The 27675-nt window shown below is 56.6% G+C and overlaps 1 protein-coding gene and 1 long non-coding RNA gene across 8 annotated transcripts in view, besides 5 other annotated features; one reads left to right on the forward strand and one right to left on the reverse strand.

Moving 5' to 3' along the window:
- The window catches only part of TBC1D22A (TBC1 domain family member 22A), a 413050-nt gene that overhangs the window by 366245 nt on the left and 19130 nt on the right, over window positions 1-27675 (forward strand).
- Window positions 697-1896: an enhancer, noted in NCBI's record as "P300/CBP strongly-dependent group 1 enhancer chr22:47525234-47526433 (GRCh37/hg19 assembly coordinates)". NCBI's record gives its function as "activates an origin of replication core promoter dependent on BRD2, BRD4, P300/CBP, MED14 and CDK7 cofactors, with strong dependence on P300/CBP, by STARR-seq in HCT116 cells {active_cell/tissue: HCT116}" and the evidence as "EXISTENCE:reporter gene assay evidence [ECO:0000049][PMID:35650434]".
- Window positions 735-1254: an enhancer, noted in NCBI's record as "H3K4me1 hESC enhancer chr22:47525272-47525791 (GRCh37/hg19 assembly coordinates)". NCBI's record gives its function as "activates a minimal SCP1, AML or CMV promoter by ChIP-STARR-seq in primed H9 embryonic stem cells {active_cell/tissue: H9 hESC(primed)}" and the evidence as "EXISTENCE:reporter gene assay evidence [ECO:0000049][PMID:30033119]".
- Window positions 2408-3271: an enhancer, noted in NCBI's record as "H3K27ac-H3K4me1 hESC enhancer chr22:47526945-47527808 (GRCh37/hg19 assembly coordinates)". NCBI's record gives its function as "activates a minimal SCP1, AML or CMV promoter by ChIP-STARR-seq in naive H9 embryonic stem cells {active_cell/tissue: H9 hESC(naive)}" and the evidence as "EXISTENCE:reporter gene assay evidence [ECO:0000049][PMID:30033119]".
- Window positions 8328-9267: an enhancer, noted in NCBI's record as "H3K4me1 hESC enhancer chr22:47532865-47533804 (GRCh37/hg19 assembly coordinates)". NCBI's record gives its function as "activates a minimal SCP1, AML or CMV promoter by ChIP-STARR-seq in naive H9 embryonic stem cells {active_cell/tissue: H9 hESC(naive)}" and the evidence as "EXISTENCE:reporter gene assay evidence [ECO:0000049][PMID:30033119]".
- Window positions 12358-15408, reverse strand: LOC124905140 (uncharacterized). The gene is made up of 3 exons (XR_007068141.1): window positions 15313-15408; window positions 15021-15195; window positions 12358-12764 (listed from the first exon to the last, which is right to left on the reverse strand). It is a non-coding gene; the product is annotated as an uncharacterized LOC124905140 (long non-coding RNA).
- Window positions 25665-26864: an enhancer, noted in NCBI's record as "BRD4-independent group 4 enhancer chr22:47550202-47551401 (GRCh37/hg19 assembly coordinates)". NCBI's record gives its function as "activates an origin of replication core promoter dependent on BRD2, P300/CBP, MED14 and CDK7 cofactors, and independent of BRD4, by STARR-seq in HCT116 cells {active_cell/tissue: HCT116}" and the evidence as "EXISTENCE:reporter gene assay evidence [ECO:0000049][PMID:35650434]".

Raw genomic sequence — 27675 nt, forward strand, 5'->3', positions numbered from 1 at the left:
CAGGCAAAGAAACAGGACCGTCAGCAGAGTGAAGAGAAGCGTTACTTTATTTACAGTGTGTGCGTGTGGGCCTTGCTGTCCATGGGTAGCCGGGTGCATGTCTACGATGCCAGCTCACCAGGATACGTAGGCCTCTCGTTTTTTGCCGTTTATCATGGTGAGTGCCGTCACCTCTTGGTGAAGACTCTTGGCCCTTCTGGAGTTACTAGGTCCTGTCACTGATGAGCTTCAGCAGATCTCCTAGGAACACATGTTCCACTAATGATTCAGTGTGAATAGTAATAAAAGTTAAGAGGCTGTTGGCCCGGGCATGGTGGCTCACACCTGTAATCCCAGCACTTTGGGAGGCCAAGGCCGGCAGATCACGAGGTCGAGAGATCAAGACCATCCCAGCCAACATGGTGAAACCCTGTCTCTACTAAAAATACAAAAATTAGCTGGGCGTGGTAGCACGTGCCTGTAATCCCAGCTACTTGGGAGGCTGAGGCAGGAGAATCACTTGAACCTGGGAGGCGGAGGTTGCAGTGAGCCGAGATTGTGCCACTGCACTGCAGCCTGGTGACAGAGTGAGACTCCGTCTCAGTAAACAAACAAAAAAACAAAAAACCGTAAGAGGCTGTTAACTTTTGAGTTTCGTGGCACTCACGAAGTGGGTGGTGACCCTAGGATCCTGAGGGTTATGGCATACAAATCTAGCCATTTTCCTGTCACCTTACATTCCTAGAGGAAGGCTCAGCAGAGGGTGTTTGAAACTGAAAGATGAGAGGGGCAGGCCTGGGGCTGTTCCCAAGTATTAATGCCCCAAGCCTACACCTTTTTAAAAAACAAAAATTTTTATTTAATCAAAGCTATGTGTTATATATTAGAGGAAATTTTGAGAGACTTTGACCAAAAAAGAGCAGCCCTCCATCCCAGCCTCCTCACACCGCCAGAGGCGCCGCTCAGCCTTTCAGGTTGCTGTGTCTACTGTTTTCTTGTTTTTTCCTCTCTCTCTGTCTCTCTCAATGCTGTTCTTAATTTCTGAGGTTTAGAAATGCATTTGTACAGCGGAAGAGGGAAGCTGAGAATTAGGCTTCCTTACCCTGTGGTCCCAGCACACGGCCATGCCCTCGTGCCCGGCCCTTCCTTCTGAGGCTCCTGGGGTGGTGTGCCTGGACTTGTCACCTGGGTGGGGCTGTGTCAGCGTCACTGCCGCTGAGTCACCACGTGCACTGTGCCTGTCATCCCTTTCTGGGACAGCATGTCACTTTCCTTGGTGTCACCAATCATCTCCCTTAGGAGTCTGTGAACCACCCACTCCCTCCCTCCCCACCAGACAGGTTACCGGAGCGGGCGTGTCTGGAGGAGCAGGCAGAGCAGGTGCTGTACACCTCGTGTCCTCTGGGACCCATCCCTTCTAGGCCCCTCCTCAGGACACCCCCTCCTGCCGGGCTCCCCCCAAGCGCAGCCCCCTTCCCAAACCCACGTTTGCCTCACTGTCTTCCTTGTCCGGTAGAGCACACCCCTCAGCACTTCTCTGTGTGAATGAGCCTGGCAGGGACCTACCTTGAGATCTACATGTCTGGATACCGCTGCCTTCTGGCCTCTCTCTGGATGGAGGGTGGAGGGTGGAGGTGGAAGCCACTTCCTCGCAGGCTTCGCGGGAATTTGCTCTCCTCTCTTACAGTGTCCAGCATTGCTTCTGAGAGATTCGCTGCCATGTGACTCTAGGCCTGTGTTTGCACCTTTTCGTTCCTTCCCCAACACCTCTGCCCTGAGTGTGGTGGTGACATGTCTTTTCCTCATCTTGCTGGAGCAGTCTGTGGGACCCTGCGGTCTGCAAAACTCAAGGTTTTCATCTCTAAGATTTTTCTGTGGGAAATGTCCTGAGAATTAAATTCCCTGCCATATTTGTTTCCGGAGTACCTACTAGAAGGTGGGCTTCCTGGATAGCCCCTTATTTCCGACCTTATCTTTGCATTGCTATAAAGGAACACCCTGGCCTGGGTAATTTATAAAGGAAAGAGGTGTATTTGGCTCAGGGTTTAGCAGGCTGTACGAGCATGGCTGCAGCATCTGCTCAGCTTCTGGGGAGGCTTCAGGAAGCTTTTCCTTATGGTGAGAGGCACGGGGAGCCGGCGTGTCACGTGGCGAGAGAGGGAGCAAGAGGGGAGGGGTGCCACGCTCTTTACACCACCAGCTCTGTCCTGAACTAACAGAGCAAGAGCTCACTCACTACCACAGGGAAGGGACCAAGCCATTCGTGAGGGAACCACCTCCATGACCCAGATGCCTCCCACCAGGCCCCACTGCCAACACCAGCTGTCACATTCCACCATGAGATTGAGAGGGCATGGACATTCAAACTGTATCACTGTCCTTGTACTCAGCAAGTGCCACATGTAAGACCTTGCTGTAACCTCGTGCATCCCTGGAGGGCAGTGTCCTCAGCCAGGTGGAGTCCGGGTTCTTCCAGAAATGCAGAAATGGTGAACCTGCCTGCTCTGCTGCAGAAACCAAGCTCGTTAATCGGCCAGTAGTGAACGTTGCACCACCTGGTTGAGCTGACGCTTCTGTGGGCAGCAGAAGGAAATATGAGCTCTGCGGCTGCTCCAGCCACAGGAGTGTTCCCCCTGCCCCCTGTGGGCTCCATGTGATCTGTGACTCCATGTGGGGGCAACAAGCCAGCTTCTACCCCTGCTGCTGGAGCAAGAAGAGTAGATGGCCTCTGCCCATGCGATGGGACCCTGGCCACCTGGGGAAGCAAGGGCATGTCAAGGCCATTCCTGCTGACAGTGGGGGTCAGAGCCTGGCGTTGGTCATCTTGCCTCACTCTGCAGTGACAGGCCCCTTCTCAGCAGAAGGGAGCATCTGCCCATCAGTGCACAGTGACCCTGGCTCTCTCGCAGAGGCCCCTGGGGTCTGCAGCCTCCTTGAGAGCGATCCCACATGGGAGCCAGAAGTGAGTGCACAGTCCCGGGGCGCCCGCCCCGTCCAAGCCCAGCTGTGCTTGGGGCTTATCCCAGCCTGTCTGTGGAGCCACTCGAGTTCGTGGCAGCACCTCCCAAACTCTCTGTGCTGAAGGCCAGTTTAGATTTTCTCCCAGTTCATTTCAGACTGATAAACTTTGGTCAAGTACGGTAATGGTGGCATGGCAAGGGTGCAGTGTGCGGCCAGTTTCTTAGCACCTCCCTCGGTTTCTGCACATACATCCTTGAGGGCCATGATCAAACAAGCTGTGAGACGCCAGAGCCCCGGACCCCAGCTTTAGGAGCCTACCTTTAGGACCCCACCTTTAGGAGCCCCCATTTGGTGCTGGAAGAGATGGGGTCTGCCTGGATTCCCCCCGAGTCTTGGTCGTCAGGCCTGGCGGTTGCACCCCATGTTCCTGAGCCCTCTTCTGGCCCCGTGCCACCCCGTTCTTCTGGGACTGTCACAGGAGCTGGCTCTGCCTGCCCCTACTCCTGCTTCCTTCCGATCCACCTTCCAGAATGCAGCCAGAGAGAGCTTTCTAGAATGTGCGCTTGATCCCTTCATGCTTCTGCCTGTAGCCCTTCAGCAGCCAGCTCTGCCGTGGGACCATGGGCACATGCCCGCTGCTACCTGGCTGCTTACCTGCCCGGCCTTAGTCCCTGCACCGCCCCGCCCTGCTGTCTCTGGCCTGCAACCCAAACTGACTCCTGCCTCCGACCCCACAGGACATGAGCTGCCTCCTTGCCTGGGTCCTGCTTCTCCCCAGTGCGAGTGGCCTTTCTTCCTCTTCCCTGGCCGTGTTGGGAGTCCTGTCCTGGCTCCTGACCTCTCATTGTCTGCCACGGTTGCTGTGCCTTGTCCCGGGGGAGGCTGTGATGGCCCCACCTTGTACAGCAGGTTGGGAGGTGCAGGTTCCTGCTCCCACATCACGTTGGCTTGAAGGCGGGCTGTTTGCTGGGGATGCAGGAAACTCCCGAGTGTCCGCGGAAACGCCATGTGATCTAAATGGCACCTTGAAACATAAACTGAGCCATTGGATTTCAGTTCGAACCAGGGCCTTGAACTCCCTGGGGTGGACATGGAGTTCATTTGGAGATTTCAGCCTCGCCGAAGGGCTCACTTGGATGTGAGCTCATGACAGAACAGCCACCACCGTCTCAGGGAGCCAAGTGTGCTCATTGAGATATGGAAAAAAAGGAACTCCAAAAATTGAAGTAGGCAAATGTTTAGGCGACGCCTGTAAAATGTAACAGCCTATCCACTTCATTCAGTGTTCAACTTTGTATTCATATAAACTTTGGCATTTGAGCATAAATTGTGGATTAGAATTTGTTTTCTCAGCGGTTCCCAAGTGTGCACAGGGACATCTTAGAAACCATAGCCAGTTTTCAGTTAAATGAATTGCAGCTGATAATTCCAAAGCAAAACTATACAGCTCTTTCCATGTTTTTATAAGGAAAAATAGACGTAGTGTGGAGTCTGGCTGCATTTTAATATGCTTGGGGTGGGGCCTCTGAAGTACTGGGGACAAGGACTGAGAGGAACGTGAGCCACCCTGCGGAGGCAGCCCCAGTACCAGAGCGGGAGGCTGATTCCAAGGATTTGCCAGCCCCAGGTGAAAGGGCCGCCTGTGGGGGGTGCTGGTTTTGATTTTCACTCCCAATGCCGTTGTGAAATTCTGGGTGATTCCAGCTGTGCAGCAGAGTTGACATACTGCTTAAGATGGGACTGTGGCTTTTCGACATTCGTTTTTAGGACTGTCGTCTGTCCCCTGTGGGAACTTGGCAGGTCCCTTCTGCCTGGGACTTACCGGCGGCTCCTGGAACCCTTGCCTGGAGCTCTCCCTTGTTGGCTGTCAGGAAACAGGAGGGCCATGGAGCTTTGGCGGTGACACTTGTGGTGTGGCCCTGTGCCTGCGCGAGGCAGCTTTGCCATACGTCATGCCAATACTTCATTGATCCAGCAGCGGCTTCAGGCTGGCAGCACGATCAACACGGCCCCGGGCATCCTCGCGAGCTCCAAACATCCTTCCGTGGGCTGTCTCTCTCTCTCTCTCTCCATTCCTTCCAGAGTAGAAATTCTCTTGACTGGGTGAAGGTTGGCATTTCAACCTCAGGACTTAATACCCTTTCTCGTGGGCCTGGAGCAGGTCCCCTGTGTCCACTCCAGTTATTCCAGAAGGTGCCCTGCCCATGCCTCCCTCATAAGAAAGCTGCCTGCCTGTGGGGCAGAGGGCAGGGGACTTTGCTGGCGTCTCTTCCCTTGCACGTTTCTGCCTGTGAATTAGTCTTGCCATTAAAGAAAAAAGTTACACCCCCATTCAAATCATTAATTGAAAAGCCCTTATTATCCCATTGGTGGTGTTTGATATCTAAGGCAGATAAACTCGGAGAAGCTCATCCGCTCAGTCCCTGAAGAAATGTGATTACATCCTGGGTCTTATTAAAACATCTCCCTCTCAGCTGTCACATTTTCCCACTTTGCAGCCTTTTCAGGACACGCGAAAGAATCTTGTATGGAAACAAATGACGCCGGCCTGAGGGTGGGCCAGGGTGGAAGGAAGGCGGGTTCTGCTGGAGCAGCACTGGTTGGTAGCCCACCGCCCCTCGCCAGCTCCTGGCCAGGACAGGCCTCACTCAGGGCTGGATCAGCCAGTGTTGACAGGCAGCGAAACTTGGAGAGACAGAGTCACTTTTGTGTGCAGCTAGGGCTGAGAGTGCCTGAGCTTTTTATGTAAACCTTGGGTGTAAAAGGAATCAAAAAGCAACTGGCAGCCTGGGAGTGTCCTGTGGGACCCTCCCTGCCCCACCCACCCACGAGGCTGCGTCCTCTTGTCAAATCTGGGGTCAGCCAGCTTCACTACCAAACCCCTGGACTTTGTTTGCAGAAAGAATTCCTCGTGCTGTGTGGCTGGCATCCTTTCTGCTCATGTCCTGGGTTTCTGATGTGACAACCGAGCACCCCCAAATTGAGATGGGGGGTTCAGCAGGGAGACAGCCTCCAGGGTCCTCTGCCTGGCAGGGCATGTTGCACCACAGGGGAGGCTGATACAGAGTTTCCCTGCCCAGCTCTCCCGGAGCCTTGGCTGATTCCAGCCTGGGCTGTGCCTTTGCCCACCACCTCCATGCCTGAAGGGCTGGCCACTTACCCGCTCCCTCAGGCCTCAGCCAGCCTCATCGGGACCCCTCTTGCACCTGTGGCCAGACTCAGACCCCCGCCCCAGTCCCCAGCTGGGAAGGGGACACTGGCTGTGGCTCTGCTGCCGAGTGTCTTCCTCAGGGATAAGCAGGATGGGGCCTCTTCCCTGACAAGAGTGGTGCAGAGCCCACCTGTGGGCAGCCGGCCTTCCCAGAACCCCCTGGCAGGCCGGCGCAGGGCTCGGCGCTGCTTCCCGTCATCCCAGTTAATCCCACGGTCCTTCGATGAGGGTCTGCGGTGGGTCCATTTCCTTCTTCGCTGATTCCTTCATTTAGCAGCCATGTATCAAGCACGGGTCCTGGACCAGGTGACACTCTGGGCATGGAGGTCCCAGGCATTGTGGCCTGGCAGGGAGGATGGAGTGAGAGTGAACCAGAAAATAAGCACAAGCACAGCCTGGGGTTCATGCGAGAAGGCAGCAGTCGGGGTAGGGGGAGAAGTGGGGTGGTCAACACTTGGTGCCTTGGGCACTGCAGAGAGTTCCACTCGGGGGGCGCAGGTGCCAGAGCCAGGCCCTGGATTGATGGCAGTAGTGGGGCATGGCCCAAGGCAAGGATGAGGGGCCTCGAGGCCGGGTCCCACAGGGCTGGTAGCCATGGTGGGGAGGAGTTGAAGGTGATTCTGCAATACTTCGGCTTCTAAATCGCCCAGAGATCCTGGTGCCTAGATTAGTACTTGTTGAAGGAATGAAAGTCGAGGGGAAGTGACCAAAAAGCTCTAGGCAGGGCGTGTGCGGAGAGTGCTGTGTTCATTCGCCCAGCGCTTGTTCACTGAGCACGCGCCACGTGCCAGGACCACCCGGACACACGTGGTGAGGTCACTGTGGAGTGCTGTGTTCATTCGCCCAGCGCTTGTTCACTGAGCACGTGCCATGTGCCAGGACCACCCGGACACACGTGGTGAGGTCACTGTGGCCGAGTAGATGGGCCAGGGACACCGGTTGAGGAGGCAGTGCTAGTTGCTCGGGTAGGAGTTTGCAGATTCCAGGGAGAGGGCAGTGGAAAAGGAAAGGAATGAGTGGCTGAGGTTCCTAGAACCTCACGTACGGAGGGAAGTGAGGCACGATGGTGTGGAAGGCCTTGGATACTCGGGGGCCAAGGCCCAGGCTCCCTCCACCACGTCCCCTGAGGCCTCCCAGTGCCAGCTGCGGTGGGGGCCCTTGCCCACTGTCTGCCCATCTGCCTTCTTCAGCCTCCTAGGAGCAGTGAGGGTCCTGGCCCCCGCCCCAGGTCCCCACAGCCCCTTTGGTGGACTTGGCTACTTGGCGTTGGCCCCAGGATTCAGCCGGTCTCCCCCCAACCTCAAGATCCTGGGGCTGGCTACCACTGACCTGGGTGGTCTCTCCTACAGCACCCAGCTCCACGCTTCGACCAAAGCTGTAGGACGTTGGGAGGAGTAGGTTGGTTGTCCTCAGTTTGTGTGTGAAATAACAGTGTAAATGTGGGGTGTAAAATGCCCTGGCATCCAGCCTTCCTGAGGGAGGCTTGTTTCAGTGATGGCCAGACCCGGGGACGGGGGACCAGGAGGTGAGGCTGTGGACCCAGTTCCTTGGAGCCAACCCTGGGCCATGTGGCACCAAGAGCCCGGGCAATCAGGGGTCCTGGGCTTGAGCCCCCTCGTCCCTAGGGATTCTGAGTGGCCTTTCAGCACTCACCCACCCTGAGCTTGTGCATGCCCCGTGGGACCAGGACTGCTGAGGTGAGCAAGGACAGTGGACGTCACTGCCTGTGCCCCCAGGACACCTGTGGCCCTCAGAGCGGGAGCTGCCTCATCAGGACCCCTCTTGCACCCTGTTGCATCGGTAGGGTGGTGGCAGATGTGTACTCGCCCCCTCTCCAGAGCCCCCAGACCTGTCCCGGTGTCCCATCTCACGGTAGGTCTCCTCCCAGTCGCCCCGGGGCTGTGGGTGTCGCCAGCCCATGCTGTGCAGGTGGCGAGTGTGAGCAAACCTGGTCCCGGGCCCTGGCTACGTCTTCACTCGGCGCGGGCAAAGAAGAAAGTAAAATAAGATAAAAAGAAGAAAGTGGAAGCTCTTGAGGAGGTCTTCGTGCCGTCTCGTGATCCACTTCCAGTCCAGGAAGCCCTGGATCTGTACGGTGTGTTCATTTCGTTACCCTAATTAGTTTGAGGATTTTCAGGGCAAACATGGTAGGATTTCTCAGTTCAACTTTGGGGTGTTTGTTTTTTGAGATAAAGCACACAGAAGAAGTTGCATTGATCTTTTAATTCCTCATGCAAAGAAAAAATATTTGCTCTTCTCTGATTTAGTGTGTCTGATTCTCACTGAGGCTGGAGGGGGTGGTGGGGTCCAGTCAGAGTGGACACTGGAGCATGGTGGCGTCCCGGCCCTGTCATCACTGCCCCCTCACTGCCCAAAGAGGGGACATGTACTGCCCCTTAGCGAGGAGCCGAGGACATCCTGCACCTCCCTGCACCCCTGCTTTCCTTCTCCCTTGGGGCAGCTTTCCTAGGTCTCCCTGACTGCAGGGGTGCTGGATACCTCTGCCCAAAGCCCCACATTCTGTGCCCCTTGGAGCCCTGAAGCTGCCCCTGCCCCTAGCAGCCTCTCCACCACTGTCCCTGCAGGCCTGCCTAGCCAGCTTCACCGGCCACACTGGGCTACACCCAAGCCTGGCCCCTGAAGCAGGCGGTATCTTCATGGCTGCTTACCACTGGGGAAGAAGGGTGGGCGCAAGTGGGAAAATCGTCATGAAAATGGGCCTCCCACGAGGTTGGAGTGAGGAGTGTGGGGTCCCTGCCAGTGGGGAGTCGGGAGTGGAGAGTAGGGAGTGGGGAGTGGGGAGCGGGGAGCCGGGAGTGGGGAGTGGGAAGGAAACTGTCTCAGACAGGAAGTTTGCATCTCTGAAAGGGGCTGGCCCTGCCTTCGCCTCCCTCTTCAGGGCTCAGCATCTCCATCCGTGTGATGTTACTGGCACCCCCTCTCAGAGTTGTTGCAAATGCCGGAGAAACACAGGTGCTCTGTGGAGTGTCATCGTCAGTGCCACTGTCACCTAATAGGATTCCTAGTCCCCCTGGCGTCCAGAGGCTCCGGCACTCATGGAGATACCTTGTGAGCCGCAGTCCTCGTGGGATCGTCCAGGTAGCGGCACCTCACAGCTGTCTCACGGCCCATCACTTTGTCGAGGAAGAAGTGGCCAGAGCTACTGTTTATAAAAGCGACAGCATCTGTGCCCCAGCCTCTTTGCAGTGTGCTCTGTGCCCCCAGCTAAGGATGCACAGACCCCACCCCAAGGCACTTTCGGCCTCTGGGGGACAGGGAGGACCGTGGACAGTGATGGACCTGCAGGCTGGGGAGGAGCGAGCAGTAGGACACACAGACCCCACCCCAAGGTGCTCTTGGCCTCTGGGGGACAGGGAGGGCCGTGGACAGTGATGACCTGCAGGCTGGGGAGAAGCGAGCAGTATGTCCTTCTGGAGAAGTGAAGCTGTGTGTCCCGGCACAGCTTCCCAGCCAGCCTCCCTAGTGAACCTTGCCTCTTCCCTCCCCTGAGCTGTAGGAGGCAGGTTTTGGCAAAGGCCGTCCTTGGAGAGCCCCCTTGGTGGGTCTTAGGGTGTTTGCCAAATCTGCGTGCTTTGCAATTGACAAGCATCTTAGTCTCTCCGGGCTGGTATAACAAAATAGCATAGATGGTGGGCTTAGAAACAGCAGTCATTTATTTCTCAGATCTAGGGGCGGGGAGGCCATAATCAAGGCACCGGCAGACCCGGCATCTGGTGAGGGCCCGCTCCTGGTTCATAGACAGCACCCTCTGCCATGTCCTCACACGGTGGAACAGGGAGGGGCCTCTCGGCGTCTCCTTCATAGAGGAACCAATCCCTTCCCCGAGGGCTCCCGCTCATGGCCAATCACTTCCCAAAGACCCCGCTTCCTAATACTACCACCTTGGCGTGAGGATTTTAACCGATGGATTGGGGGAAACACAAACGTTCCAGCCGTAGCACGTTATTTGGCCGAAACCCAGAATACCAGGAGGCCAGCCCTCGCTCTGCAGCCGTCTCCCCTGAGGGCCCAGCCTGGATTCAGGCCTTTTGGCTTGGCCAAAGCCCTTCTGAGTCCCACCCTGAGCCTTTGCGGGAGGGTGACGTCATGTGCTTTATTGCTTTGTTTATGTGCTTCAGTCACCGTTCCGCTCCTGCAGCGACCAGTCAGGCACAGAACACTGAGGCCGCCAAAGACTGGCCCTTGGTTCCAGTTGCCCGCACGGAACTGTGTGTCTGGGGCCCAGTTGCTGAGGAAGTACCTCAGAGGACACCGCTGACACAAGCCACAGGTGCTGACGTGGCCGCACCTCCCAGGGCTCCTTAGCAGGTGTGCACCTCGAGACAGGTGTTCACCCAAACATGAGCCGTGGAGGGCTCCCTGCTGGGTAGGCCCGGGGTCTGCATTGTCAGGGGCTGGTCGGGGCGGCCTCAAAGGGGCTCTGGTCTCCACCCAGCTCCTGCGTTCCCTCCTGTACATTGAGCAGAGCACCTCCAGGGGGCTTTGGGTCGGCTCCCCCTCCTGTGTTCTCATGAGAGGCTGCTGGAGCGTGGCCCACTGGGACAGGAGAGGGACCGCCATTCCTGGGTGAGTCTAGGACACTCACCTTCCAAGCCCCCTGCTTCCAGCCACTTAGGAGGAGGCGCGGTGTCCTGGCCGGGGAGGTTGTGAGTGTCTGCCCAGGGCGCCTGGGCTGAGCTGCGCTCGCTAAGACCCAAGTTCAGGAGTGGCGGCAGGAGAAGCCCCGCTCTCACTGCCTCACCGCCCTGCTTATGTCTCCAGATAATCCCGTTGTAATAAACTTAATTCCTGCCAGTCCGTGAGAACCAGCCTGTGGACCTGTTGCGAAGTCCACATCATGTGACTGCTCCTATTACACTGTCAGTCTTGATTAAGATCCCACTCTGAAATGTCAAGCTGTGGTCTTGTCTGCGCTCCCTGATTCATTCATATCTTTTTATAATCATTATCAGATGACACCTCTGTCACTTTGGAGATGTGTAGCTAGGAGCACTGGTGACACCCACAGTGAAGCCCAGCAATTTTTGAAGTGATTTCTCCTCATTGGGAGCCACAGACCTAATGTTGAGCAAAAACTGAGCTGTGTGTATTTAGAAATCAATTGAAAACATCACATTGCTCAGGCTCTGAATGCGCGTGCTGAGTCTGCCTATTCTTCTCGGTGGCCCAGGCTGCTCCGCTTATTTTAAGATAGAGCTCATCGGTTGTGAAAATGCTACTGTGGGCCGGGCGTGGTGGCTCACGCCTGTAATCCCAGCACTTTGGGAGGCTGAGGTGGGCGGATCACGAGGTCAGGAGATCGAGACCACAGTGAAACCCCGTCTCTACTAAAAATACAAAAAATTAGCCGGGTGTGGTGGCGGGCACCTGTAGTCCCAGCTACTGGGGAGGCTGAGGCAGGAGAATGGTGTGAACCCAGGAGGCAGAACTTGCATTGAGATCGTGCCACTGCACTCCAGCCTGGGTGACAGAGTGAGACTCTGTCTCAAAAAAAAAAAAAAAAGAAAGAAAGAAAGAAAGAAAATGCTACTGTGTGGCACCCATTTCAGGAGACAAGGCTCGTTTATCCGGAAGCTGGCCTTGCTTGGCAGCCAGCCAGGCCTGCAGGGGATGCCTGCCCCTGCCTTTGCTCCTTCTGCAGGCCCTGAAAGCCTGGCCCTGGCGGCTTGGGCCTGGGGGTTGTCCCTGGGGCTCAGTTGCTGCCCTGGCTTCTGCAGCCTGTGAGCATTCCCCATGCTGGGGCGGCTTATCACAAAGTGCAACTTGCCCCTACCCCAAAAAAACCTGCCTCCCACAATCGGCAGCACACAGCCTTGGGCAGGTGCTGGAGTTGGAAGGGTCTGGCATACAGACTCCGGAGCCCTGACTCTAGGACCGCTCTGGCTTGTTAGCATGTATGTTAGTCCATTTTCATACTGCTTTAAAGAAATACCCGAGACTGGGTAATTTATAAAGAAAAAGAGGTTTAATGAACTCACAGTTCCACATGGCTGGGGAGGCCTCATAAACATGGAGGACGGCGAAGGAGGAGCAAAGTCACATGTTACATGGTAGCAGGCAAGCGAGCATGTGCAGGGTTACTGCCCTTTATAAAACCATCAGATCTCGTGAGACTTACTGTCACGGGGACAGCCTGGGAAAGACCCACCTCCATGATTCAGTGACCTCCTGCCGGGCCCCTCCCATGACATGTGGGGATTGTGGGAGCTACAATTCAAGATGAGATTTGGGTGGGGACACAGCCAAACCATATTAGCCTGCAACCTTGATCAGGTCACTCTGTCCTTCCTCGCCCAGTCCCAGAAGCAGACAGGTTCCCATCGGTAGTCCTGAGAGTTGCCACCTTGCTTTTTGCCTTCCCCTTACGCACGCATTTATAATCCTCGGACCAGCTCTCCCACAGAGGGCAGTTGTCCCCAGATCAGAGCTGAACTTGCTTGGAGCCACACAGCTGGTATGTGGCACTGTGAGTGGAACCCAGGGCAGCCGACTCCACGTCTGGGCTTCCAGCTTCGTCGGCTGCCCTGACTTTCCTCCATGTCTTCCGGAAGGCCCTCCCAACTGCCTCACTCTGAAGCAGGGCACCATGATTCTGTAAGGAAATGAGATTTGAGCCACACGCCTGTTTGTGCCACACACCTGCTCTTTCCTACGTTGCTTGTAGTGTTTTCCCAGAAAGGTGGGAAGAAGGAAGAAGGGAAGGAGAGAAGGAGGGAGAGAACAAAGAAGGAAATGACGTGGATAATATCTTAAACACTACAGTTTTTTAATATCAAATTCCACTAGTTCCAAAATAGAACTTAGCTGGATAATATTCTGAGTTGTGGCTGGAATTTCTGTTCTACCAAATGGTTGTCTGGCATGAAACGTATTTGGATTTTTATGGATCAATTTTATCAGTAACAGTGCTAGTTGGACATAAGCAACATCAGCCTCCTGTGTGCTGGGCCCACTAGTAGGCACTGAGAATTCTTCCCACATCTGCCACAGCTCTGGCCCCTGTGGCTCTTTGCCAAGGTCAGCTCCTCATAGGACTAGCTCCCTCCAGGTTCCCAGTAGGAAGATGGGACCTGTGGAGCCTACTTTCAAGCCTACCCCAGAAGCTGTTTACTTTCCCATCCATCCACCCACACACCCATCCATTCACCCACCCACCCATTCACCCACCAACCCATCCATCCATTCACCCACCCACCCACCCACTCATCCACCCCATCCACCCACCCATTCTTCCATCCATCCATCCACCCACCCATCCATTCATTCAGCCACCCACCCATCCATCCACCCACCCACCCATTCTTCCATCCATCCGCCCACCCATTCTTCCATCCATCCTGCCACCCACCCATCCATTCACCCACCCACCCACCCATCCATTCACCCACCCACCCACCCATCCATTCACCCGCCCACCCACCCATCCCTTCACCCACTATGCATCCATCCACCTACCCATCCATCCACCTACCCATCCATCCACCCACCCACCCATCTATCCACCTACCCATTCACCCACCCATCCATCCACCCATCATCCATCCATCTGCACATCCATCCATTCACCTGCCCACCATCCATCCATCCATCCATCCATCTACTCACCCACCTATCTACCCACCCACCCCCATCCATCTACCCATCCCCCATTCATGTATCCACCCACCCACCCCATCCATTTATCCACACATATGTATACCACCCACCCCCCATTCATCCTTCTATCCACCCACCCACCCACTCATCCATCCATCCTCCTACCCTCCCATCCACCCATCCATTCATCCACCCATCCATCCATCCACCCATCCACCCACCCACCCGACCACCCACCATTCAGCATTTATTTGGACACATACTCTGTTGCTCTCAGTCAAGCACTGTGGAGTTCTGAGCCTTTGCCCTCAGAGGAGGCAGACTCTGGTCCTGTGAGGGCCTGCTGGAATCATGCACAGGCCTTGAAGGTGACTGCCTGGTGGAGACATTAAGAACCACCCAACTCCCCAGAGGAAGGTACTGGGAAGAGAGTGCCCCACCTAAGCCTTGGCCTCAAAAGGACCTTTTCTCCTGGAAGCCCCCGTCTCTCTCTCTCCCAGAAGGGGAATCATCCAGGTGGATCGGTACCCTGGAGCCACCCCTGTCCCCACCTCTGCCCTTAAGAGTTTGAGCCAGACTCAGTGGAGCAGACTCTGAGGTCTACAAATCGACGGAGACCTGACAGCAACTTTTGTGCCTGTAAGTCCATAAATCTCTGGCCTGAGTACTTGGCAGTGACCCTTTAACATTCCTGAAAACAAAGAAAAGGTGTCCCAATAGCAGAGGATTTGCAGCCAGGATTTTACTGGAATTAGGAAGTAGAAGCCCTGCCGCGCTGGCTAGCTAATGAGTTTTGAACCGCTTCCAGGAATAAGTGTGAGTTTAGAATATCACCATCAGTGCAGTGGCCCTACACCTTCCGGGGAATGGTGCTCCACCTGGAATGATACTTAGGCACTGCCTCACGTGCAGAAAGCCTGTGACTGAACAACAGAAACTGGGTCCTGGGAAATGCAGAGTTCTTTCCAGTGGGCAGCCCTGCCTGCAGGGTCCCCTGAGCTCTCTGATGGACACCCAGCTGACCCTAAGCTCTCTGACGGGTGCCTAGTAGCTCTGCATGCATCGCGTGTACCCAGCTGAGCTGTTGATGCTCCAAGGTCCTGTCAGAGGCAGCTGTTTGAGCATTGGTCCCTGGAGTTGCCAGAGGTGCATGAGGAGGGCTGGGCCCGGAGGTGAAGGTTGACAACTACAGCCCTCCGCTTCTCCTGCAGAGATAGAAACACCGGAAACACGTGGAGAGGTGTGCACTTACGGCAGGCCCGCTGCCTTCTTCTGCTCCAGCATCCTGTGTCCTGCTGGGCTGGCCGTGGTGCCTGGCCACACTCCGAATCAAGCCTTTAGTTGGTGATGTCCAAAGGCCCCTCCTCCAGCACTCTGCACCCCTGGTTCAGCCCGATGTCCCTAGACGGTGTCAGGGGATCCTGTACCTGAAGACATGGGAGACAAACCATTCCCAAACACCAGGGAAAGGGTGTCCCAAAATATCACTGTCTCTCTAGAGAAAGGAACCCCTGCACACACCCCACCTGAGCCACCGTGCTCACTTCTCATCGCTGTCAGAGCCGTGCACTTGGGCTGCCAAGACCTGTGAGGACCAGCGGGTTTCTAGTGGCCGCAGCCGCCCGTTTCCCTTTCCAGAGCTCCTCTCTCCCAGAGGACGGCGTCCAACCGGAAAGGTCCTTTGTGTTTGGAAAGGGCCCTTTTCTGGCACAGGCTACAGCATAAAGATGAAGAAGTGAGACCACTTCTACCATACTCCAGAACCCACCAGCCCCACTTTGGGGGGCCCTGAGGCCTTGGGTCGCCACGCAAGGCGGTCTGTGTGACTGCACCAGCGTCCCTCCTTGGCCCCTGTGCTTACTGAGCCCCTGTCTGCCTGGCGTGCACACAGTATACAAGCACATACGCGCATGCACTTAGGGCACACTCAGGGGCTCTCCAGAGTCAGTGCCCACCACCTGGAGGCGCGTCGGTGTTACTGTCTCCAGTCAGCACTGGCGGGACTTCACGGGTGCAGCCCGTGAAGGTGCCTGCTGGCTGAGATCCTGGGACTGGGTGCAGCCCGTGAAGGTGCCTGCTGGCTGAGATCCTGGGACTGGGTGCAGCCCGTGAAGGTGCCTGCTGGCTGAGATCCTGGGACTGGGTGCAGCCCGTGAAGGTGCCTGCTGGCTGAGATCCTGGGACTGGGTGCAGCCCGTGAAGGTGCCTGCTGGCTGAGATCCTGGGACTGGGTGCAGCCCGTGAAGGTGCCTGCTGGCTGAGATCCTGGGTCTTGGGGTCTGGAGGCGGCTGAGCCGTTTGGTGCCGCTGGACCAGAGCCATGTAGATGTTGACTGTAATCGGAACTACCTTGGTAATGGTGGCAGACGTTAATAAGCGCGCACCACGTGCCGGCTGCAGCGTTTTTCTGTGCATCTCCCCTTATTCTCACAGCAGCCTGGCAAGGGCAGGGCTGTTCACACCTGTTTACATCTGGGGCAGGTGAGGTGCCAGGAGGTGGATGACCTAGACCTAGCCCTGGATCCCCACCTGCGTCTTCTGCCAAAGGTTGGCCCAGGTGGATTGGGAAGGTGCTGGTTCCTCTGTGGAGAGGCTCGGCGTCATCCTTTACGTGCCCAGGTGACTGCCAGGGCCATTTTCTCAGGTAGTGACCCGTCTGGCTGGTGTTGGAGGGAGTCGAGAGGGCCGCTGCTCTGTGGAAGGAGGACCCTGAGTGGAGAGGTCCTCGGCCCAGAGTCCTTCTTAGCCAGCACCTTTGACCTCTTAGGACTGTCATCACAGGTGTGGTGACAACCAGAAATGCCCCAACTGAGAATCATTGACTGAGGGTCACTAGCCTGAAAGATTGAATTGCCTTTAAGACATGATATTACAAAAGCATCGTCATATGAAGTGGTGATCAAATAATACGCAGCCAGAAGGCAGGGAAAGGGCTGTCCTGGAGGCATGCTAGGCAGTTCGTTAGGAGAGGTATTCTTGTTTTAGAGTTTTTTATGTTTATGGTATTTGCCAGCTTTTAAATTTCATAGTTTGTTCTGATTTTTTTCTAAGTAAGCACCTACCTGCACTCCCAGTTTTGAACTCAGGTCTTACGTTCTTTTTCTTTCTAAGAGAAGGTTTCCACATTGTGTAACCTTCAGGGCTTACACAGCCTGGGTCGGCCTCAGCCCATTTGAGAGTCAGCGGAGTGGATTATCTGAAAAGTAGGGGTTGACTAGGAGGCCACGGTGTGGGGACGCACTGGATTGCTGGCCTGTCCCATGCTGTTCCTTAAAGCAGGGGTTGACTGGGGGCTGCGGCACGGGGATGCACTGGATTGCTGGCCTGTTCCGTGCTGTCCCTTAAAGCAGGGGTTGACCAGGAGGCCATGGCGCAGAGATGCACTGGATTGCTGGCCTGTCCCGTGCTGTTCCTTAAAGCAGGGGTTGACTGGGGGCCGCGGCGCGGGGATGTGCTGGATTGCTGGTCTGTTTGTGCTGTCCCTTAAAACAGGGGTTGACTGGGGGCCGCGGCGCGGGGACGCACTGGATTGCTGGCCTGTTCCCTGCCGTCCCTTTCACCCAGGGCTCCTCGCTGTGTTCTCGTGCTGCTGGCTTGCCTGATAACCTCCAAACCCGTTCACGCTAGTCCTTGGGTGGAATTGTTAAAAGGGTTGATGAACTCTCTCTCTCCCCAGCTCAGAGTCCTGCCATCAGGTTGAAGCCTTTGATTACAGTTGCTAGATAGAATTGATGAAGAGACAGCAGAAGAGACGTTAGAAAAAAATCTATAAGCTTTATTCCCGAAGAGAGAAAGCCCAGACCCGTGGCTCCTTTGGGCCAGGCCAAGAAAGCATTGGCAACTGTTATCTCTAATGTCCTCACCACCCATGGCACAACTCAATCTCCACCCCAGGCAGCCGGCACCGATGCCGCTCTGTAATCATCCAGAGATAATCAAATTGGATTAGCTTTCAGAGTGGGCTGCAGGAATTGATTTAGACTGTGTTACAGGACAGGCAGCGAGATGGTTCTTCCTGATATGTGGTCCATGACTCGGTGGCCCTTTCTTGATGGGGCGGTGGGAAGGCTTTGCCTGCCGGGACACAGGAGGTCTCCTCATCTGGAGGATGGGACGCCAGGGCTGGGGGATCTTCCCACAGACCTTGTTCCCTCCTCTGTCGTCTAGCTGCAGAGGCGGCTCTGACACAGGTCAAGAGGCTAGGAGAGGGCTGTCTGCCCACCCGGAAACCTCCACCCTTTTGGATGACACACATTCATTCATTAATTCACCCGTTCATTTGAAAAATACCACAGCCCACCGGCTGGCCCATGAGAGTGGCAGTTACATGGAGATTGCACTGACATGGTTGGGGAGAGTGGGAAGACACAGCGTCAGGTGAGAGGGAAGGGCCGCTGCGCAGAAGGAAGGCAGCCAGCCGCCCAGCCTGAGTCCAGAAGGGCGAGGGAGGAGCAGCGGCTCCAGCCAGGTCAGGCCTCGGCGGGTGGCGGGCACTGTCCATCACGGGGCCAACAAGGAGACAAGGGAGGGCTCCGCCACCTGCAGAGGGCTAAGGAGCAATACTAAACCAACTCGGAGTCGGTCTGCTTTTGCTATAATCAGTTGCCAAGCACAGGCAATGCCAGAGATTAAATATTCCTCCCCGTAAAAGGTGTTTTGTTCTCGTAAAAACCATTTCTGTGACTCCTGTTACCTTTTAATAACAGATGTGTAAGGCTCAAGTGGGTGTGTTTTGCTGACTTGACCTTGAGTGGATCCTGCTGCCGGCCTGGTATATAGCATGTGGTGGTCTGTCGGAGGGCTCCCCAGGGGGCTGCGGTCCTCCAACACACACACGTTCTGCACCCACCTCCTGGGACATCGTGAGGACCCAGGGGTCACACATAGTGCCCTCAGAGAGGCCTTGGGGCATAGGTGCGCCCTGCTGTTTCCATCCGGGCTGCATTTGGCCTTCTTCCATCCATACGTTGGTCGCACACAGAGCATTTGCGTTTCTGGCAGTTCTGATGTGGTGGGACAGGGCCGGGCTGGGAGTGAGCCCCGCCGCAGGGCTCCTGGTCTGTCCTTAAGGGTAGGAGCGGGTCCAGCAGTGAGCACAGGTGGCCTGGCTGCACTGTCTGCGGGGAGCTGTGCCCAGTGGCCAGGAGGGAGGATGGGACTCAGAGCCAGCGGGGAGCTAGGCTGTCGGTCCTGGGCAGAGGCCGGAGGCCCAGCCTGGGGAAGGATGGGAAGTGGAGGCCACTGAGGGCTTGGCATGAAGCTGGGACCCTCTAGTCTGTGAGGCTGTGCTGCTCCTGGGAGGGCTGGGGAAGCTCCCCACCAGGCTCCTCCTTCCTCCTAGGACAGTGCCAGGGAAGAGACTCTCACAGGCCCTTGATCCCAGAGGTGCCTCAGGGTGGGATGGAGACCAGAGTCAAAGCACAAAACAAAGCTGGTCTGAACTGATGAAAAATGAAGCATCTCAACAGAGGCAAAATAAATTTTAAAAAACCAGCCCCGAGAGGCCACCACCCCATCGGACAGGTGGGATTCCCGTGGATAAAGTGCCCCCGGCAGGTGTGCTCCTGCCATAGTGACAACGTCTGGGGAAAACCTGTCACAGAGAGAGGCACCTCCCAACACAGGGACCTCTGCAGCCGCTGGACGAGGAATTCCAGAGAAACCCAAAAGATGTAAAAAAAAAAAAAAACAGAAGCAGAGAAGAGAGACTATATGGCACGAGAAAAGAACAGTTGGATTTTAAAAATAGAAATCCTAAAAAGGAGGATGTGCCTAAGAGAGTTTGGTGATCTTGGTTGAGAGAACAAATGCCCACTCGGAATCGCTTGAGACCCTGGAGTTGGGTGCGTCTCAAGGGCCTGAACAGAGTCCCCTCCCTGGAGTCCCTCCCCCGGGGTTCCTTTCCTGGGGTCCCTCTCTCTTGGGCTCCTCTCCTGGGGCCCTTCTCCCAGGATTCCTCTCCTGGGGTCCCTCCCTCCCCTGGGTTCCTCTCCTGGGGTCCGTTCCTCTCCTGGGGTCCCTCCCTCCCCTGAGTTCCTCTCCTGGGGTCCCTCCCTCCCCTGGGTCCTCTCCTGGGGTCCCTCCCTCCTCTGGGTTCTTCTCCTGGGGTCCCTCTCTCCCCTGGGTTCCTCTCCTGGGGTCTTTCACTTGGGGATTTCTCTTGCAGTGCCTGCCTGTGCTTCAGGGACCCAGTACCTGACCCAGCCTTGCCACCTCCTGGCTGTGCTCCCGCCTAGCCACAGCTTCCCATGTGTCCCTTCATGCAGGTTCTAGGGGGCCACGGCTTCCCATGTGTCCCTTCATGCCGGTTCTAGGGGGCCACGGCTTCCCATGTGTCCCTTCATGCAGGTTATGGGTGTGAGTGGACGAGTAGGCAGAGATAAGGGAGAGAGTAAGTGTGGGAGTGGAGGAAGGAAGCTGGCATTTGTCACTGGCCGCCGAGTGATTGGTGCCCGTTGTTGGTCCAGTCCCCTGGGGCTGGGGTCACATGGCTCGGGGGCCCTTCCAGAGCTGCAGTCAGGGCTGGACCGCAGATGTGTCCGTGACATGTCGTGGTTGGGGGACAGGCTCTGCTGGCCTGTGGAGGTGAGCTCACGGCCCGGCGGCGGCAGGAATCACGGACGCTCACATCTGCTCCGTGGCATCCTGTGCGGCCTCCATTTATTTCCCTCAAATGGCTTTCAAAACCTTCTAAAAATAGGAGCTTAATGAGACGTTTAGCAAAATGCCACACAGTATTTATCCCTGCACTTGGCTGCATTGTTAGTTCTTCCAAAGAAAAAGCTCTCCCGTGTATACAGCGTGCCACCCCCACGGCCACAGGCCAGGCTGGCTGCCGAGAAGGCTGGAGGAGGTGGGCGGGACAGAGTTGTGATGGGACCACTCCCCCGCCCAGGTGGGCAGCTTTGTGAGGACTAGTGGGGAAGGGACACGACCAAGGCCACCAGCCCTGCCCCGGGAGCTCACAGAGGCCGGAAGGATGGCAGAGCCGGCAGGGCTGCAGGGAGGTACCCGCAGTGGCGAGTCAGGGAGGAAGGTTCTGGAAGAAGGGGCTGGCACTGGGGCCGAGATGGCTGAGGCTCTTGGGTTTTTAGAGGCTTGTTCTTTGGAGGATGTGATGTCCTCTTGGGAAGGTTTCCTGATGATGTGTCTTACTCGTTGTGGACTGGGGTGATTGTCACCTCCACCTTAATGGGATGCCTTGGGCCTTTTGGCCTAGCCCTCATCTCTGGTCTCTCTGGGGTATGAATCCCATCCTCAGCCTCAGATGAACCCCTTCAGAGAGGAGGGGCCTCCTCTCCCATAGCAGAAACCCCACAGCACTGACTCCTCAGGGGCAGCGGGGCTGGGCCTGTGCACCAGGAGCAGATGGGCCAGGGGCTGGGATTAGCCCCTCTGGTCTTACTGTTCCTGTCTATAAAATGAGTGGACTGCATTTCTCCAAGCCTGTTAGAGTCCATGAGGAAAGGATAGCGAAGGGCCCCACGCGGCACGGGGCACAGTCACTGGTGCACTGTAAACGCCCCTGAGATCAGTGGCAGCCACAGTCCGGAGCACCGCCACGCCCATTCAGGCAAAGCAGGAACCAAATACTGCCAACCAGAAGTCAGATTTGGAGGGCACTGGGGAGTGGGCGGCCCTCCTGGCTGCACTCACAGTGGGGTGGCGAGGGCTCCAGGCAGCTTGGAGCCGGCCTCTGAGGCCCCCCGAGTTCATCTTTTGGACATCTCAAAAGTCCGCAAACACGTGACCCAGGACTCACCCTGTGTGCTCCCATCTCTGCTCCAGGAGTGTCCCAGTTCCGTCTAGAACAGCTCTCGAGCCCGCGTACACCTGAGGCGGTCTGGGTGGCCGGGCTTGCTGGGTGGCACCGGAGTCCCTGTGCCACGGTACTTCTGCCGAGCCGCCTCTGCACCTGGGTGCCTGGGCCTTCTCGCCGAGCTGTCTGCTCGTTGGCTTGCCCACTTGTGGGCCACAAGCACGTGTGCCACAGCTCCACAAGAGCCTGGCATGGGCTGGTGGGCTGCAGCGCTAGCTCAAGGCCAGTACGCGGTCTCCCCAGCCCCCTTCTGAGCCAGACCCTTCTCTGTGGGTCACCAAGTGCCCCACTCCCACCCCCAGCATCGTCCCCTGCACCCACGGGGCTCCCGTGCGTGTGACCCTCCCTTGGGACCAGATAGCTAGAGACCTCCGCCCCCACCACCCTGCTGAATGATGGTGCCATTCTCTTCCTTCCGTGGGAACTCTGTGGCCCTCACGTGGCGTGCATGTGGCTGTGTGGCCAGCACAGAGGCCTTGTGCTTCTGCCTCAGGCACCTGGCGTGACTGATGGCCTTGCTCTTCCTGCTGTGATGCTGGGGCCATGGGGTCTCAGAGAGGATGTGGGATCCGCTGTGGCCCCTCAGAGGCTGAGGGGCCTGTGAGCTGCGTGGGGAGCAACCCGCTCCGCTTAAAGGAAAGGGACCTAGACCTGCTGGGTTCGTGCAGATTCCTGCGAGCCTGGCTGTGCGGGCCCAGAGCCTCACCAGACTGTTGATCTGAACACACTTTTAAACGCTGCGTGGTGTGGGGTTCTGTGTGACACTCAGCGCCCACCCGTGTACTCTCCACCTTCCCGGGTGAGGCAGGCCAGCGGCTTCCCGGCGCACTCACGCAGAACCGACCTTTCCAGATCGCAGCCCCACTGCATGCCTTCCTCCTGCCCTCCCAGGCAGCAGAAAAATCAATGTGAGAACGCAGACTTGAACAACTCGGGAAATTGAATAATTTTCACAATGTATATTACAAGGAAAAAGATCATTTTGCTAGTGAATCTATGAAATCAACTTGAAAATCAATATTGCTACATGTTTAAAGGTAGCCTTGGAAGCTTGGTCCATGGCTGGGAGAGGCTCTGGTACCTGGGCTCCCTCGTGGCCCCTCTCCAGGGGGCCTCACTGGGGGTCCTGAGCACTGGGCTGTGCTGGCTGCTGAGCCAGGGCTTCTTCCTGTGGGGCTCAGGGAGGTTCCATGAGTCATTTCCCCTGAAGCTCTTTCAGACCTGTGTGGTCACCAGTGACCTTACTCTCCTGGAAGCCCTGCGTCTGCTCTGGGGTTGAAGAAGACCCCTGGGGGAACGGAGAGCATAAAGCCACCATGCCGGCCTGTCGGGAAAGAGCAGCGTCACCCAGGGGACGGGGAGGACCCCTTCGCGGTGTGGACGTGGCAGTGCAGCCCAGTGACCTGCACTTTTCAAGCTGATGGGGCCAGCAATGTCACCTCTGGGGTCTCAGCTTCTGAAGATAGAAGGGCCCACTGCAGAGGGCCGTGTGCATAGGAGCGTGTGCGGCCGTGGTCTGGGCCTTACTCTGCTGGTGGCAGCCCGTGTGAGGGTTCCTCTGGGCTGTCTGCCTGCCTGGACCTCACCCACTCTCCTGCGTGTATCTGACTAGAACCCGGTCCTAGGGCTCCACGGTTCTCTTTTTATTCTGAAGACCTATTGCTTCCTGGTTAAGTGCTCTGAGATAAATTGTTACTAATGTTGGGAAGCAGATCTTTTTGTCCTCAGGTTGGGTTGACCAATACAAGGTTATATCTCTCAGTCATGCGTTCAAAACAATGGGTTCAAAAATCCAGACTGGGTCAGCGCAGTGGATTCCTCTTCCCTGGGTGAGAAACCACCGCAGCCTCCTACGGGGTTCCCCCCCTGGCCCCTGGGGGCACCGTGTCAGATCAGCGCAAGCTCAGGGTCCCCAGGCCGAAGTGGGTTCCTCCTCTGCTTGTGGCTGGCGGGCGTCGGTGGCTGGTCATGGCATCTCAGCTGCTCCCCGCTTCCATGGGATGGTGACCCCTCAGCCCACAGGCACATTCACTAGAGAGTTTCTGGCCGGCCACAACCCCCCACGTAGCTGGTCCTGACGAGGCTGTCGCAGTTGCGCTCTCTGTCGCTTCTAAGTCCCAAAGCCACACTTAGGGCCACTCTTGGTGGCTCTCCTTGCTTATGAGATGGAACTAGTATTTACTGAGTGTGCTTGGCCCATTTATATTTGTCATCTCATTTAACTCTCGTGATGAGAAAGGTGGCGTTTTCCCATTTTACAGGCCCGGGCACGGGGCCTCTGAGAGAGAAAGCATCGGCCGTGGCGGCAGAGCAGAGGAGGGACGGGGTCCAGATGTCTGTGACCCTTCGGGGGAGACGCAGGATGCCAGGGTGGGTCACGGGAAGCTTGCTGGAAGGGAGACCCCCTGAGAGCGTTAGCTGTGGGAGAAAAGCACTCGGGCTAATTGGAACGAGGATTGACTGAATAGGACAAGAAAAGGAAAAAAAAAATCACAGCCGATTTCATTCTGATATTAAAGGAGGTCCGAGGCAGGCAGTTCCAGGCTGGAACAGCAGCCTCGGTGCTTTCAGAAACACAGTTTCCTTTCTGTCTTCTCTGCTGTCTGTGGCTTCCATTCTCAGAGGCACCTCGTGGCCTGAGATGGCTGCTGAAACTCCAGCCATTGCATCCATAGTCCAGCCTGGCAGCAGGAGGATAAAAGGCACCTTTCCCTGCCAAGACAGCTTCCTCTATAAGCTTCTCCTGAATTCCACCCACTGCTTCCAAATGCAGCTCACGTTCATGAACTGAGTCATGTGGTCATATCTGACTTCAAGGGAGCCCGGGAAATGCAGTATTTTAGCAGGGCTTGTGCCTCCTTTCATGAAGAAAATTAAAGTTCTGTTCCTAAAGACGGGGAGGGTGGCTGAATGGCTGTTGAGTGGTACTTGGCAGCCCCTGCCATGGTGCTCCAAGCAGAGGAAACAGCATGGGCGGTGACCCAGGGGCCAGGAGAGGCTGCAGGCAGAAAGGCGTGAGAGAAGGGGGCCCGGTCTGCCTGGGGGAGGTGGGTTCGAGGGGGAAAGAGGTAAGGAGGCGGCCATGCAGGTGGACGGGCAAGGGAAAAGGGAGGAGCTGTGGCCGTCGTGCAAGCGAAAGATGAGAGATACCACCCAGGAGTGAGCCGGGAAGCAGGTGCGTTTGCAGGATGCCTAGGAGGTGTGCCTAGAACCCGCAGGGTGTGGTGACAGATTGCAATGGCTGGGGGAGGGGGCACAGGGCAAGGTCAGAGAAGAAGGAGAAGAAACTGGGGACGATGTCTGCATTTGTTTATTGGGTGACTGGCCGAGTGCTGTCGCCAGAGATCAAGGTAAAGACCCACAAGGGCAAAGGCAGCTTGACAGGGGTGACGATGAGTCCCGTGTGGAGGCGGGGAGTGGACAGAGCCTGTGGGAGGTCCGGGGACACTGGACTGGCCTGTGGCTCTGAAGGTCCGCAGAAGTCACTCTTGGGCATGGGAGGGTGGGCAGAGAGTAGGAGGAGGTGTGAGTGGCTGTGAGAGAGTAGGAGGAGATGTGAGTAGCTGTGACTGCGAGTGGATGAGGAGGGCCAGGAAGAGGGCGCGTGGCTGGCGGGAGCAGGGGAGCTCCGGGACCTCCTGGGCCTCCAGCACTGTCTCCAGGCCATGACTTCTCCTTCCTGCTGTTGAGGAACAGACATGTCCCCGGAGCAGGGCGGTCCTGTGTGCCCCTGTCACCCTCCCCTCCAGCCCACCTCCTCACACTCTGCGCTTTTGAGAGCTGTTCCTAGTGTCCTGGTATGGCCCTGCCACGCGCTGAGTGAGTCTGAGCCATGAGTGACCTGCTCACCCTCTGAGCTCTGTGTCGTGACGTTTGGCTTGGTTTCATCTCTGACTGACCGTAGCTGCAGCCTTTACTTGTCACGCGCGGGACACTGTCATGGCCTGGAAATGCCCCCCCGCTTGAAATTACGACTCTTTGACTGCAGTTTTCCCCCTTCCTTAAACATCACCTAGTATGGGGCTGGCAATGTGCAGACACTGTCCATCCCAGCCCCAAACCCGACAGCGTGCCAGGCTGGCTCCCTGAAGCCCTCAGGAAGCTGGGGGACCCCAGCAGTGCCTGTCCTGTCAGCCTGCCCTGGAGCAGGTAGCGGTTGCCTTTAGCAGGCAATGTGCCCGGAGCTGTCCGAGTTCAGACGGCAGCTCTGTTAGGCAGGGAGTGATGGCGGCTGCTCTGGGACATGTGCCCAAGGTCCGGGATGCCAGAAACACAGCCCACACGGCTGCTCTTCCCCTCCCCACTCTCAGCGGCCCCCTCCTGGTGATTTCTGCTTTAGGAGCAGAAGCAGCCTGGCAGACCTGGCCTTGTCCTCTGGCGTTTTCACTCGGGATCGCTGTGGGAAGAGCCTTGTAGATAAGCACCTGACTGAGGGTGCCTCCTCTAGAAGTGGGCGTCCTTCCCTGCTGCCCGCTGGGCATTTCTTGAGCGGCATCTCCAGGGATGACGTGGCCACAGCATCTTGGCCCCAAACACCGCAAGGCAGGAAGTCTTCACGGGCTGAAAAAGACGAAGGGCTGCGCCAGGATTTGCAGTGTCCTCTGTGTGTTGATCAGAAGTCTCAGCCGTGTGCCTAGGGATGAAATGGAAGGGCAGCGTGATGGGGACGCTCCATGCCGAGCCCATGTTTTCAGCACTGAAAGGCGCTTTTCTCTTTAGAATTCCTTTTTTGGAAAAAAAAAAAATGAAATGAATTACAAGGACAGTATACATCGCTGTGCCATGAGAGACTCCTCGGAAGGCGGATGTATTGAGGTGTCACCTTCCCAGGGCTGTCCTCCCGGCGGGCTGGCCAGCTCTGGCAGCTGCCACCCTGTCCCGGCTGGCTGTCACTGTCTTTTTATTTTTAGCCCTGGTTTGGTCCAGAACGTCACAAGATTTTCAAACTAATAACTGGATTGTCAAAGAAATCGGCTATCAGAGCCTGCACTCCGGGCTCCCAGGATGGTCTGGGAGTGGGAGAGAGGGAGGGAGGTGGGAGCCGCCCTGGGGATGCCCGGCCACTGTGGACCAGTGACCATGTTGGGCAGATGGTTGCATCGTCACTGACAGAACTCAAAGGCATGAGGGCCGGCGAGGACGCGTAACACTTGACATCACAGCAGCCTGCAAAGGGGCAAAGGAAGCCCCTCTTCCCAGACACCACGGCCGTTCTCCCACGGTCTCCTGTGCTCACAAGACAGAGGATGGGCTGGCGCCAGCGCAGACCCCCACCCGAGTGCCCACCCTCAGGGGCGGTGGTGCGGACGGGCGCAGCCTGACCTTTCTGTGCGGAGCTACCTTCTTGTCTTCTGTGTATCAGGTGGTATTCTGTATTCTTTGATCTCCTAGTTAAAAGGGCATTGAGTGTGATAGAAAGGTTAAAAATAAGGTAAATAAGGATGAACTTTTCATAGGCAGTTTTCCTACCAGGACCTCTACGGCCCTCCTACGTCTGTGGTGTGTGCCCAGCGTCGTGTTATGTGTGACACCGGGTTCATCAAGTGCCTCCCACTCAGCCCCTCCCCCTGCTGGTGAGCCCCCTCCCCACGTGGAGTTTCCTGTCCTCCCAGATGGCTGAAGGCAGGGCTTCTTATCTCTTGGAGAAGCTGGTCAGTGTTGACCGCCCACAGAAAACCCATACCCCATGGTTTCACAGGCTCTGCGGAAGGTGACAGGTAGTGTCTGGGCTGGGACCAATCAGGGGCTGGACTATCTGACAGCAGTTCAGGCTCCTGGCTTCCACGTGAAGATGTCATTCTAAGTTTCAGGGCCAAGTAGGGACACATTTAGTGGGGACAGCCCCTGTAACCCTCTCCGAGAGACAGGGTTGTATGGTAGTCAGGTCCAGTGGCTCGAGAGGGCAGCCCTGCTGATGGGGGAGGCGGCAGCCCTGCCACGGGCCGGCTGCTTGACCCTGAGCTGTCGCTAGGCTTCTTGAGCGGCCGTCTCCTCCCTCGGACATGGTGGGTGTGGAGGACACCTCACAGTTGTTAGATCGATGCCTAGCTTGAGGCTGGCCGGAGTGAACACCAGGATGGGCAGCCTC

Source organism: Homo sapiens, chromosome 22 (genome assembly GCF_000001405.40).
Source record: "Homo sapiens chromosome 22, GRCh38.p14 Primary Assembly".
Classification (NCBI taxonomy): domain Eukaryota; kingdom Metazoa; phylum Chordata; class Mammalia; order Primates; family Hominidae; genus Homo; species Homo sapiens.